Source organism: Homo sapiens, chromosome 10, assembly GCF_000001405.40.
Source record: "Homo sapiens chromosome 10, GRCh38.p14 Primary Assembly".
Classification (NCBI taxonomy): domain Eukaryota; kingdom Metazoa; phylum Chordata; class Mammalia; order Primates; family Hominidae; genus Homo; species Homo sapiens.
In genome coordinates this window covers 95,334,245-95,348,480 of record NC_000010.11, presented here as the reverse complement: position 1 = coordinate 95,348,480, position 14,236 = coordinate 95,334,245, and the positions used below count along the sequence as shown (strand labels likewise).

General features: G+C 45.9%; 1 protein-coding gene across 79 annotated transcripts in view, besides 1 other annotated feature; it reads left to right on the top strand.

Moving 5' to 3' along the window:
- The window catches only part of SORBS1 (sorbin and SH3 domain containing 1), a 249,599-nt gene that overhangs the window by 212,891 nt on the left and 22,472 nt on the right, over positions 1 to 14,236 (top strand). For 68 of the 79 annotated variants that reach the window (NM_001384455.1, NM_006434.4, NM_001034957.3 and 65 more), the window contains 4 exons: positions 2,029 to 2,075; positions 6,803 to 6,917; positions 7,071 to 7,196; positions 9,154 to 9,348. In NM_001384455.1, coding sequence (NP_001371384.1) covers positions 2,029 to 2,075; positions 6,803 to 6,917; positions 7,071 to 7,196; positions 9,154 to 9,348 — 483 coding nt within the window. Of the gene's footprint in view, positions 1 to 2,028; positions 2,076 to 6,802; positions 6,918 to 7,070; positions 7,197 to 9,153; positions 9,349 to 11,186; positions 11,961 to 14,236 lie in introns of all 79 variants that reach the window. The other 11 variants (NM_001384448.1, NM_001384450.1, NM_001384447.1 and 8 more) reach the window with 2 other exon arrangements.
- Positions 916 to 1,568: an enhancer, noted in NCBI's record as "OCT4-NANOG-H3K27ac-H3K4me1 hESC enhancer chr10:97106670-97107322 (GRCh37/hg19 assembly coordinates)". NCBI's record gives its function as "activates a minimal SCP1, AML or CMV promoter by ChIP-STARR-seq in primed H9 embryonic stem cells {active_cell/tissue: H9 hESC(primed)}" and the evidence as "EXISTENCE:reporter gene assay evidence [ECO:0000049][PMID:30033119]".

Genomic DNA, 14,236 nt, shown 5'->3' with positions numbered 1-14,236 from the left:
TAAACTACACAGCTATATAATTATATTGATTTAATTGATAGGAGATATTGTTTTGACAGAACTCAGTTACCAAAGTGTGAATGCTGTGCTGCTTTGGTATACATTTTTTAAAGTTCACACAGCTCTACAGCTGGGTGACATGAGGTAACCTACTTCCTTGTGTTTTTCTATTGAAATCACTGTGAAATTCGTATCCTTATAATTTTGGTCATTTAGTTTTCTCTTGTGAACTTGTCATTTATCATTAACCCCACATCCATTATTTTCTTGTTCACCTGCAACTGTGAAATTATGCCCTTTGGTTACAGACACAAACACAGGTATTGAAATTGTGTGGCTTTAACTAGATTATAAGGTGATCATTCACTTGGCCCCCGTACGTTTGGTATAGATGGGTAGATAGATGAAAACATCAATGTGAAAATGCAGACTTTAAAAATGCCTGTGGAAGGCTAGGCACAGTGGCTCACACCTGTAATCCCAGCACTTTGGGAGGCCAAGGCAGGAGGACCGCTTGAACCCAGGAATCTGAGACCAGCCTGGGCAACATTGTGGGACCCTATCTGTATAAAAGTTACCCAGGCGTGGTGGTGCATGCCTGTAGTCCCAGCTACTCAGGAGGCTGAGGTGGGAAGATCACCTGAGCCTGGGGAGTCAAGACTGCAGTGAGCCATGATTGTGCCACTGCCCTCCATCCTGGGCAACAGGGCAAGACGCTGTCTCAAAAAAAAGAAAGAAATTCCACAGCCGGGCGTAGTGGTTCACACCTGTAATCCCAGCACTTTGGGAGGCCAAAGTGGGTGGATCACTTGAGGCCAGGAGTTAGAGACCAGCCTGGCCAACATGGTGAAACCCAGTCTCTACCGAGAAATACAAAAATTAGCCTGGCGTGGTGGCACATGCCTGTAGTCCCAGCTACTCGGGAGGCTAAAGCAGGAGAATTGCTTGAACCTGGGAGGCAGAGGTTACAGTGAGCTGAGATCGTGCCACTGCACTCCAGCCTGGGAGACAGAGTAAGACACTGTCTCAAAAAAAAAAAGAAATTCCAGATAGAGGAGAGGGTAGGAGGGGGTTCAGCTGAGGTGTAGCAAATAGATTTGACTGGAACAGGAACAGTGTAGTAGAGATAAAGGCAATTCTGTAAGAGTAGGGAGAAACTACCCAAAGGCCTTCACCTATGGCAGGAATTGAGATTTGAACTGAGGGAAAGTTGAGAGCAGCAGCCAACTTCAAAGCAAGGAAGAGATGTGAGGAAGAATGTTAGGAATGTTATTTGTGCTCCTGGGTGACAGATTAGAGTGAAGAGAATGTGAAATCAAAGGAAGCTTTGTGTCAATGGAAACTAGATGTCAGCTTTGAGCAACAGGGTTGTGGAGGGATGGAGGTGTGGAGGGAGGTCCCTCCTGACTTAATGACACACTTGATCAGGAAGTGGAGAAGGGGCAGAGGCTGACTTGGACCTGGGCATCTGGGAACAGAGGGCTACCCAACAGGATTGGAAGTCTTGGCAGGAGTCATTTGAGCTCAGGGACCACTTTATCTGGCTTTTTGGATGATGTCACAGACCGTAAGAAATATATGGAGTTGGAGATGATGTGAGAAGTGAATCGGCATTTCACCTACTTGCATATCATAATTTAAGCAAGTAGATGTCTCTAAGGAATAAGACAGTAGATAAGGAACATCTTAGGACTTCTGGCTGACTTTGTCTTTTTGTTTGTTTGTTTTTTTAATAGCCATGGTTCACATGTTTTGAGGAACTGTTACCTCAGCTTTGGGACCTTTCTAACCATCTCTTCCCCAGATCTGGCTGTTTTTAGGGGGATTCTCATGAATGACATACATAGTTGACTAAACATTTATCTAGTGTTCTACTAAGGTCAGACAAATGCAATTTTGCCCAGATTTCTACACTAGAACAAACTGGCTAGAGTGAATTTTTCTGCTTTGCTTTCTAGAAATTTGTGAAAATGTGTCCTTGTTGTCCATGAATCCTGATTTTAACTTGTCATTGTTTCTTATGTTCAGATGAGACCTGCCAGAGCCAAATTTGACTTTAAAGCTCAGACACTAAAGTAAGTGCCACCAGTTATATTTATTTGTCTTTTTAGCTGCCTTTTTGAAACACAGCAGTTTGTTTGTAGAGTTGGAGAAATAACAATTATAAAAATTGTTGTTAAAAAAAAAAGAACAAAACAGTAGTTCATAGAGTTTGCTATGTGCCAAACACTATTCAGAGTACTTTGCTTATGTTAATTCCTTATGGAGTGGGTGCTGTGATGATCCCCACTGTTCAAATGAAGAGACCAAGAGACTATAAGGTTAAGGAACCTGCTCAAGCTGGTGTGATAGAGTTGGAATTCAAACCTAGGCAGAGGTTGGGGTCTTATACCCTGCCCCACCCTGCCTCCTCCTATGTAGTGGCTCTATTTGCTCAAGTGGTGGCTTGATCTGACCCATCTTTTCTGTGGAAGGATCTAGACCAGTCTCTAGGGAGATAACTTTACCCATTTTGCTACAACATCCCAAGAGATTAAAATCTTACATGAACCCACAGGAGACTGGCGTTTCTCTTAAGTGTGTTCTTCAGAGTGCTAGCCCTGTAAAATTTTTCTCAAAAAGAGAGTTCTGTTGTAGAATGAGTTGGGAAACACTGCATGCTCTATCTATACCTCCCACCCACTTTGAAGAGATACTTTGTTGATGACATATTAATAGCTCCAGAAGTCTTTCAAGAAAGGAACCTGAAACACGATTTGGGAGATGCTACCAAAGACTGGGTTCCATAAGGAAACAGCTGGCTTTTTATCTAATAATGGATTTAAATAGTCCATGAGTTCTCATTGGCAGCTAAAAGTACAATGGTCAGTGGCCACCCCATTGTCCTGCAGATGGATGGTTGTGCATCTGGTGATCAGAGGGAGAGCTCCCTGTCCTTAGATGCTGGGAAATGCTGTGTGGAGCTAACCAACCATGGTTCTGATCTCCTGGATCACAAAATGAGTGACCAGGCCACAGTGTCTAGAGCCTAGGCACAAATCTGGTATAGTTGGGTTTGTGTGTATTACTCCAGTCCTTTAGTTGGTCAGCTAAAGGAGGTGGCTGTGTAATATACTGCAAAGATTGTGGGCTTTAGAGTCAGGAAGCCCTGTGTTCAAATCCTGACTATGCCACTTACTATCTTTGTGACTGTAGTGAAGTTATCAACTTCTCCCCCACTCAATTTTCTTTATCTGCGAGATAGGGGTAAAAATGCCTCTCTTGCAGGGAAGCTGGGGTAATACCTGTAAAACATTTTGCATAGTGACCAAAATTTAATACTCAAAATATGTCATCCTCTTCCCCCCCTTTTTTTTTTAAACCAGAAAGGATAACAGAGATATATAAATTAATTTGCAATTTAATTAATACACTTATTTCTTTGAATTGAGGAGTCTTTGTAAGATTTATTAAATGGTATAGTGATGATAATATTACATTTTCCCAGATTTCATAAAGAGTCTTAAAACAATTTTTTTTTAGAGCAACCCTGTCAAATAGAACAGGTGAGAAAGCTTAGATCCACAGAAATTGTCACCTTTTATCAACATTGCTAATGCCGGAGAGAGGGCTCCTTCCTCCTAACTCAGTGTTTTCATCACGACATGCTGCCTCCAAAAAAATGTCCACAAAATTTAGTGAAAAAAGTAAATTCTAGCTCCATGGTCTTTTAAGCCCTTCAGTCACTTGGTTTTACATTTCGCCATAGTCAATTACTCAAAAAAGCATGCTGTCGGGGCCAGGCGTGGTAGCTCACACCTGTAATCCCAGCACTTTGGGAGGCTGAGGCTGGCAGATCACTTGTGGTCAGGAGTTCAAGACCAGCCTGGCCAACATGGCGAAACCCTGTCTCTACCAAAAAATACAAAAATTAGCCGGGTGTGGTGGCAAGTGCCTGTAATTCCAGCTACTCAGGAGTCTAAGGCATGAGAATTGCTTGAACCCAGGAGGCGGAGGTTGCAGTAAGCCAAGATCATGCCACTGCATTCCAGCCTGGGGGACAGAGTGAGTCTCCATCTAAAAAAAAAAATAGCATGTTATGGAATACTTGGTTCAACAAAGTTAAACAAGTTTCTTTCCCCCTGGCCTTCTCAGGGCCTCTGCTGTGCTGATGTACACCGTGATGCTCCAAAAAAGATCTAAAGCGAATCATATTTCTCAAACCCTCTCACCAGCAGTGGTTCTTTGGGAGCTAGGGGTATAGTCCACAGCAGTGGAAGAATGGGGCCCCAGGTTTCCCATGGTAGTCTTCCATCAGCTACAACTACAGACCCCTCAGTTCGTCTCTCACACACAAGTGGGTCCTTTGCTTAATAGTAGGACCATTATGCTCCCATCCCCCTCCACAGCTGCGAGATACTTAGTATAGCAGAATCAGGAGCCTGCAGATCTCCATAGGGGTGAATATGCTGAGGGTCTTGCTCATCTATGTGCCTGTGGTTGGGGATGAAGGGAGGGGGAATTCGTAATGCCCCCCAAAGAGGGCTGTGGCAAAAATGTGGCCCGAGACATTCCTTCTCACAGAGACAAATGTCCATATCCCCTTTACGGACCTCTTGAGAGTTAGAATCCTGTCTGCTAATGTGAGACCCACAAAGGTTGCCTTGTGCTTTTATTCAGCACAGAACTGACTTTCTGTAGTTTTCCAGATGTGCCCTCATTGTTCGGCCAGCACCCCTCACATACCGTGGGACTTCCTGGCATCCTGCAAAGTGAGCACACCCCTTCCAAGTTACAATTGGAGACCTTTCCATCCTATTGGTTTGACTCAAATGAAAAAGATCTAGGTCATTTTTTTTTTAATTCAAGAAAATGTTACAATTTTAAAATTATTTAATTCAAGAAAAAGTTATAAGGGCCAGGCGCGGTGGCTCACACCTATAATCCCAGCACTTTGGGAGTCCGAGGCGGGCGGATCACCTCAGGTCGGGAGTTTGAGACCATCCTGACCAACTTGGAGAAACACCGTCTCTACTAAAAATACAAAATTAGCCGGGCCTGGTGGCGCATGTCTGTAATCCCAGCTACTGGGGAGGCTGAGGCAGGAAAATCGCCTGAACCCGGGAGGCGGAGGTTGCGGTGAGCTGAGATCACACCATTGCACTCCAGCCTGGGCAACAGAAGCGAAACTCTGTCTCAAAAAAAAAAAAAGAAAAGAAAAAAAAGAAAAGGTTATAATTTTTATCCTTCTTTTTTCATTTTGTTTAAAATTTGCCTTTGTCTCATTTTTTTTTTTAAAGAGTCCTGGTTAAAAATTAACATAATCTGGGCCAGGCACGGTGGCTCACACCTGTAATCCCAGCACTTTGGGAGGTCAAGTGGATCTTGAGGTCAGGAGTTCGAGACCAGCCTGACCAACATGGTGAAACCCCGTCTCTACTAAAAAAAACACACACACAAAATTAGCCAGGCGTGGCGCCTGTACTCCCAGCTACTTGGGAAGCTGAGGCAGGAGAATTGCTTGAACCTGGGAGGTAGAGGTTGCAGTGAGCTGAGATTGTGCCACTGCACTCCAGCCTGGTGACAGAGTGAGACATCGTCTCAAAAAAAAAAAAAAAAATAATAATAATAATAATAACATCATCATTATTGAGGCAAGCAAAGGAATGGATATGGAAACGTTGCAAAGGGGTACAAAGAGCATTTGAAGGAAAATCTACTTTTCTTTCCAACATCACTTTTCCATGTTTAAAAGCAAAGGAATTAGGCCAGGCGTGGTGACTACATGCCTATAATCTCAGCATTTTGGGAGACTGAGGCAGGAGGATCACTTGAGCCCAGGAGTTCAAGACCAGCCTGGGCAACATAGCAAAACCCCATCTCTACAAAAAGATACATAACAATTGGCCAGGCATGGTGGTGCATGCCTGTAGTCCCAGCTACTCAGGAGGCTGAGGTAGGAGGATCACTTGCACCCAGGCGGTTGAGGCTGCAATGAGCTGTGATCATGCCACTTGCATTCCAGCCTGGGCAGCAGAATGAGACCGTCTCATGAAAAAAAGTAATGGAATTAACATTTATTGAGTGTTACCTACCTGTACAACAGGCACCATCCTAGCTGTTTATTTTTAATTTGTTGAAGCATTCTCCAGCAACTCTGAGTTAGCTCCAAGTTCAGCTAAAGAAACAGTGTCTCAGATTAAGTATTGTGTCCAAGGTCCCAGAGCTACTAAATTTCAGAACTGGATTTTGGACCAGATCTGCCTAACTTCAGAACCTTTCTACTGCATGATGATACAAAGATAGATGGTAAAATGGATGGGTGGACAAATGGTGAAATTGATGGAATGATAGAAGGATATCAATATATCACAAATAATTTGAGGGCAATTTAAAGCAACGAAGGCATGCCCTGCTAGGGCGTAGAAGAGGATAGTGAAGGTATCCAGGAGACGTTTTGTTTAACAAACATCAGTTAAGGCAGCTGAGTGCATTGCTCTGTGTTGCATAAATTTTCTGAGCATAAGACAACATTCACAAAAAATGCATTTAGAAAACCACAACAAATTAATAAGGCCTCTGAGCACTTTCAAGGGCTAGTCAATTTGAATGTTAACATCCATCCTGCAAAAGAGTGGAAAAATGCCAAATGTGATGTAATTTCCTGAATAGTGGGGTTCTTACTTCCAAATATGGAGGCCCCTCTCTGGAATTTGTACCCTTTGACCCCACTTAAAAGTCTCCTTTTGCTACAAAACTGAAGTGTCTTAATCTTACACATATTGAAACATCTGCTAAAATGCCGTTGACCTTCTGTCAACAGGGAGCTTCCTCTGCAGAAGGGAGATATTGTTTACATTTATAAGCAAATTGATCAGAACTGGTATGAAGGAGAACACCACGGCCGGGTGGGAATCTTCCCACGCACCTACATCGAGGTACCGCAGCCTCTTTTCTTTCTAAGGAAAAGCCTGACAGTGCCCAAAGCACCATTTATTTACCAAATGCTTATGTTTTGTTTCCTCCTTTTCCTCTTGTTTCCCTGCTTTCTTCTCTTCCCTTGTTCTCTTTTACCTCTTTCCCTTTCTCAGCTTCTTCCTCCTGCTGAGAAGGCACAGCCCAAAAAGTTGACACCAGTGCAGGTTTTGGAATATGGAGAAGCTATTGCTAAGTTTAACTTTAATGGTGATACACAAGTAGAAATGTCCTTCAGAAAGGTAAGCTGCACTTCTCATGCCTTGCTTTGGGGCTCTCTTGGATGGCGCAGCTATGTGGGGAAGCGTGGTGTTGCTATCACACCCCAGTCTGGGGGTGCTGTCTGTACCCTTAAGAGAAGTATGCCAATCAATAATTGCATTAAGGGCTGGGCACGGTGGCTCATGCCTGTAATCCCAGCACTTTGGGAGGCCGAGGTGGGTAGATCACTTGAGGTCAGGCGTTTGAGACTAGCCTGGCCAACATGGTGAAACCCCGTCTCTACTAAAAATACAAAAATTAGCTGGGCATGGTAGTGGGTTCCTGTAATCCCAGCTATTCAGGAGGCTGAGGCAGGAGAATCATTTGAACCTGGGAGACAGAGGTTGCAGTGAGCTGAGATCGCTCCACTGCACTCCAGCCTGGGCAATAGGTCTCCAAAAAAAAAAAAAAGAATTGCATTAAGGCCTGTAATCCCAGCACTTTGGGAAACCAAGGCAGGAGGCTCGCTTAAGGCCAGGGGTTCAAGACCAGCCTGAGCAACGTAGCAAGGCCCCATCTCTACTGAAGAAAAAAAAAAAAAGAATTGCATTAAGGGCAATTGGAGAATTTTCTGAGGTAAGGTATTTTTAAAATAAACCCTAGGCTAATATCAGGGTTTAACTATATTGAGCTCACTGATTAAACATAGTATTTCTGGAGTCTTAGACATCTTTTATAAGCTGTTTTCAACCAACACTTACCAACTAATGATGTCATAATGCATTGTGTTGGGGACTGGGTTTTACAATATATTGGTGTGACCTAGTGGAAAAAACAGGTCCATTGATACCAGGAGAAGTTTGAAAAGCTTTGAACCCAAAAGGCACAAACCAACTACGCAGAATGTGGGAGTTAAATACTTTTTCCAAGCCACCATTTTCTTATAGAAAAAAAATGAAGATAGATGGCTCTCTCCTAGGTGGTTGTAAGAGGCTTCGGTGAAACAACTTATGTGAAGCCCCCAGCATGACACATGGTATCTTGTTGGTGCTTAGTAAACAGGAGATGCCAGTATTATTATTATCACCATCATGCTTATTCAGAACATAATTACATTGTGCAGAGAAGTTGTTCTTTCCAGAATCCAAACACTCTACATGGCAAAATTCTCTGGCTTGCTAAAGTTACTAAGTTACTGATTTTATTGAGGCTTGAGGGAAGTGAGCACATTGTTAGAAAAAGCACTGGAAGCAACCCAGTTGCCCAACAGCAGGGGATCAGTAATTAAATCATTATATGTGTGTGCGACAGAATACCCTGCAGTGGTCCATTAAGCTATGCAATGCCATTAAAAATCTAGAATTCTATTTCTTGATAAAGAAGGAGGTTTACTATGTGCTATTAAGTATTTTTTAAAAAGCAAGTTGGAAAAGGGAAACACAGTTCATACTCAATTTTTATAAGAAAAAATATGTGCAGGTTTAATTCACATGCATAGAAGTAAATCTGGGGAGTCCATATGCCAAATATTAAGTGTTTATCCCCAAATGACTATGTGATGGGTGATGATTGTTTTCTGCTTTACGTTTGTGTTCTGATTTTTCTATAATGATACATTATAAGTATCTATAATGCTACAAAAGAAAGAAAAAGTGAAACCCCCCAAAATCTTTGCCTTAGAAATGAAGATTGGGTATCTGTTTCACATTAAATGAGTCAAAAACACTACATTTGTTCCCTGGCTTAGGGACACAAATCTGATGTTCTCCTTTACTAAAATACTTAAAGAACCAAGCTGAACTTCCCAGCATCAAGATAGCTCCTCTGCCATTAGCATCCTCATCCCAGTGGTGTTAATTCCCTCCAGGTTCAGCAGGGAAGGTTTTTCCTGAGCTAAGGATGTGATAAACAATGCAGGACATTGAAGCATGCAGGCAGAGGCCCCAGGCATGCAGAGGCATGCTAGGACAAGGACCCTCTCTTTGCTGTGTCTTCCAGGGTGAGAGGATCACACTGCTCCGGCAGGTAGATGAGAACTGGTACGAAGGGAGGATCCCGGGGACATCCCGACAAGGCATCTTCCCCATCACCTACGTGGATGTGATCAAGCGACCACTGGTGAAAAACCCTGTGGATTACATGGACCTGCCTTTCTCCTCCTCCCCAAGTCGCAGTGCCACTGCAAGCCCACAGGTATCTAAGCTTCTCGTCACTGGTTTTCATACTCAGCATGTGAATTTTTGTAGTCAACAGTGCTGATGGCACACAGCCTCTCTGGGGAGGTTTTTGAGCACTGCAATTAAAAACTGTCTGCAGGAGGCCGGGTGTGGTGGCTCATGCCTGTAATCCCAGCACTTTGGGAGGCCGAGGCGGGTGAATCACCTGAGGTCAGGAGTTCAAGATCAGCCTGGCAACATGGTGAAACCCCATCTCTACCAAAAATTCAAAAATTAGCCAGGCGTGGTGGCGGGCGCCTGTAGTCCCAGCTACTCGGGAGGTTGAGGCAGGAGAATCGCTTAAACCTGGGAGGCAGAGGTTGCAGTGAGCCGAGATCATGCCACTGCACTCCAGCCTGGACGACAGAGCGAGACTCCATCTCAAAAAAAAAAAAACTGCAGGAAAGCAGACTGTACACTGGACTTTGTCTTTATGCATACAAATGGCCTTTTCCAGTGCTTGGTTGCAGATATATCTCAAGGGAAAAGGAATAGTCAAGTAATTGCTCTGGGAATAAGGTGACTAGGGAAAGAGAAACAGAGAAACAAGAGCCTTTATCAGTTGGCCCCTCTTGGGTGAAGCTGTTGGTGTGGGTACCACCACTGTGTCATAAATCCCATGGTCCAAATGCGGTCCTCAGTCATCTTGGCCAAAGTTGACCTGCAGAAGACAAAGGCTGAAAGAGAGACTTACACCTTCTCATCAGCCATATAGACCAGATCCAAAGTATTATTTGCATTCACTGGAACCAGGTGATTGGAACAAGTAACTTACAGCATCTCAGTCTCTGTGGGCTGAAAGGATATAGGTTTATAGGCGTAATAAGATGTTGGCTTTCCCAAACATTAATTATGAACAAACTTGTTTAGAAATATAAACTATTCCTAACTGATCCCCACTTTCCCAAAGCCAAGAAAATGTCAGAACCTTGAGTTCAGGGTGACACGGTGGGGGTGACATCCCTGTGAAAGAGCCTGGACAAACCACCATGTATGTTGTAAGGAGGTTGGCAGAGGAACAAGAGTAGGACCTGGGGGCCCAGGTTGACCCTGAGATGGTGCCTCTTGTCTGGTCCTCTAATTGTTTCCTCCTCTGCCACCTGCTCATCACTGACCCCAGTAGAGGGTTCTTGGCAGAAAGCATTAAACGGGCTGACCCAGGGCTTCCTGGACAGTGATAGCCGCATCCTGTTGTCTTATAGGACAGAGTGTGTGACTGGAGTGGGACATTCTTCTTTGTAAGGATGCAGGGAACTCAACTACATTTTTCACTTGACTAGCCAAGAGTGATTGTAAAACAAAACTAGTACACTACTCATACTCCTCTCTGGAAGACTCTGCTGAGCTCCCAGAGAAAATAAAACCCCAGGGAAGGGCCATGGCAGTGTGGGGCCACCTTTCCCCGTATGGTTCCGGGTCAGGGATCTGGATGCACAGGGGCTGGGTTGGCTGGGATGGGGAGCTTCCAATGTGTCCCTTTGAAAATCTGATTCTGCAAAGCAGGGCGGCCTCATCCGTCACTACTCTGACGGGAACCTCTCCCCATCTCCACACCTCTCACTGCTTCCTCCACCCCCTGCCTGCACACATCAGGATCACGCTCGCACATGCTCAAACGCACACTCACCCATCCTGGTTTCTCCCCAGATGTAACCTGAGGATTTCCTTTTTGGACACCAGAGTGTCCTTGCTCATCCTCTCCATTTCATTCCTCTTTATATACCCCTTGTGATTATTTTCCTTCTTTTTCCTTTATGCTGACACTTGTACCTTTTGCTTCTTTCTTTTGTTTTCCTCTCTTTTCTTCTTTTTAAGTTTTCCAGTCACAGCAAGCTCATCACGCCAGCCCCCTCATCTCTGCCCCACTCCCGCCGAGCCCTGTCCCCCGAGATGCACGCTGTCACCTCTGAGTGGATCTCACTGACTGTGGGGGTCCCAGGCAGGCGTTCTCTGGCCCTGACCCCACCCTTGCCTCCTCTGCCAGAGGCTTCTATCTATAACACTGACCACCTCGCCTTGTCACCAAGGGCCAGTCCCTCCCTGTCTCTCAGCCTCCCCCATTTGAGTTGGTCAGATCGTCCCACCCCACGATCAGTAGCTTCTCCACTGGCCCTACCTTCCCCACACAAAACCTACTCCCTAGCACCTACTTCCCAGGCCTCCCTTCACATGAATGGAGACGGTGGTGTCCACACGCCATCTTCAGGCATCCACCAAGATAGCTTCTTGCAGCTGCCGCTGGGGAGCTCTGATAGTGTCATCTCCCAGCTTAGTGATGCCTTTAGCAGCCAGAGCAAGAGGCAGCCATGGCGCGAAGAGAGTGGACAATATGAGAGGAAAGCAGAGAGGGGGGCAGGCGAAAGAGGCCCTGGTGGACCCAAGATCTCTAAGAAGAGCTGCTTGAAGCCTTCAGACGTGGTCAGGTGCCTGAGTACTGAACAGAGACTCTCAGATCTCAACACCCCTGAGGAGAGCCGGCCCGGCAAGCCCCTGGGTAGCGCTTTTCCAGGAAGTGAGGCTGAGCAGACAGAGCGGCATAGAGGTGGCGAGCAGGCGGGGAGGAAAGCTGCTCGGAGAGGTGGGAGCCAGGTAGGACTGCAGCATGCCGCGTGTGCACTTGGCGTCTCACTTGGCAGGGTGGGCTGCACGTCTCGCCCCTGGTCCATCTACGGAGGCCAAGTGAATGCTGGTGAGACCATTTGCTTGCCTCAGGAGCAAAGAGATGGCCCCAGAGGGAATGGGAGGACATGAATTCAGGTGCCAGGACTGGATACAGTTGGAGGGAAAGGACAGGCTATATCTGGCCACTTGAGGTCATTTGGAAGTTATCTCTACTTTGAATGCCTCCTGGCCTGCTGCAAGGGCCTCTGAGAAGGCAGACCTTCCTCACATCCCATGTATGCCTTAGAGATGACCCTCAGTTTGCTTTGACTAACACAGCTGAGAACACCAGGCTTTGGTGTGGTGTGGTTTGCTTTTATGTAAGATGCACTTTGTTTCCATAACCCATGGTGCTCTGCTAGTGCTCGGCTCTGTCAGGTCTTTGTCCTGTCTCGTGTTTGTGTGGGAGCGCGGGGCCTTTGTTTGCTATGAAACAAAGGTGTTTTGGTTCTGGAGAGGAGAATGCAGGTCTCCTGGGGCCCTGACTGACATGGGGTATCCTCGAATAGCCATGCCAGGTTTTGGGGTGAGTGTACCATCTTCTCTCTGGGTCAGCTACAAAGACCCAGAGAGCATTTGGACAAAGGTAGCCTTAGGGTGTTTTGAGACCTGAAAATTTTTTTGGAGAAATGAACTTAGCAACTAAACAAATCACAATTCTGATTTTGGCTATGCTGTTGACTACTGCGAAAGTCAAAGACTTTCGGCAACTTCTCAGAAGCAACCAGGTTTGAATGCCAGCTCCACCTCTTACAGTCTAGTGACTTGGGAGTTGCTTCCCCTGTCTGAGACTCAGTTTCCTCATCTGTAAAATGGAGATGATAGCACCTACCTCAAAGAGTGGTTGATTACAAGGGCTTATGATCCTGGGAACATGGTCAGCACTTTATAAACGGAAGCTATAGAGCCACCATCTTGGGTGATCTAGAATTGCTTCTAGAACTGAGAATATTTTTAGAACTTCCTTAGACCCAGATTGAGTTCCTGAAGATGTCTCCAAGCCATTTATTAAGTATCTAGTATGTCTGATGTCCACAGTAAATAGTGCTTAACCCTTAGGCTTGCAACCTCAGTTTCCCTTTGAGGCTGTAGTTATTCAGTCTATGAATAAGGCCTGCAGGTACCAGCCTCTGGGCAGAATACAAAGGTCATTTGTCTCTCCTCTTGAGAACCCTAAGTTCAAGGCTCCTCAAAACAAGGAGGAGCCTAGCAATATCACCAGGGCAATAATAGAGGCATGCTTGGGGGACACAGGAGCACAGAGGCTTGAGACACACTAGGCCAGACTTCCAGCTCCAGCCAAGCACATGTGGGCCCATGGGTGGGCCAGCACATCAGGAGTGGGGATCACTGAGGGTGAGCCGGCATGGGGCAGTTTATAAGAAATCAGGCTTAGCCTTTTGCTAGAAAGCCACTTAACCTCTCACATGCTAAGCAGGAGTGGAAGCAGTCCATCCCTTGTAGGGCAGTCATAAGGATTCAGTGAGGTAATTCATGGAAGTCGGTGCTTGGCATGTGCCAAGGCTCCATATGTGGGGTCACCCGCTGCTGTGGAGGGCTGTAGGAAAGCAGTAATACCTGGCAAAGGCTTTGCCTGGCCCTGGAACAGGTTGAGGAAGGAATAGAAGAGATGGTGAAGTGGCTAGTTGAAAAGAATTAAACGTTTCTGACACAGGAACAATTCTATAAACATTCTAAGTCAACCCAAGGCACCCGGGGACATCCTTATCGTCAGTGTTGAGTCATCATCCCGGCCCAATTCCAGGATCCTGTGTGTATAGGAAGTGCGCACGGTGCCGGATCTCCGAGTAAGGTTAGGGGTATACGCTTCCTGCTTCCTAAGGCAGGATAGGAGGGGAGTAGCTGGCAACACTGAAGATTATGTTGATTGGAAAGCCAGGCTTGTTGAAACTTGGTGTTCCTTTCTTGGTGGGCCTCCAGACCCCAAGTGTACCACTTCCTGTCCCCTCCCTTCCTCCTGCCCTCCTGGCACAAGCCCCTTCTCCATGGGTGTGCACAGGCTGTGGCCTGGGGCTCGCTCCCCCTTGAGAGCTGGCATTTGTGTGAAAAGGGCTGCTGCCCACACCTCCCCTTCAGCCCCCTCACTTTCCCCTCCTGTGGCTGGAGCAGGAGCTGACAACTCTGGAAACGGGGTCCTTCAGAAGGGGCTCCTGTGTCTTGGGCCCCCTTTGGGTGACAGACAT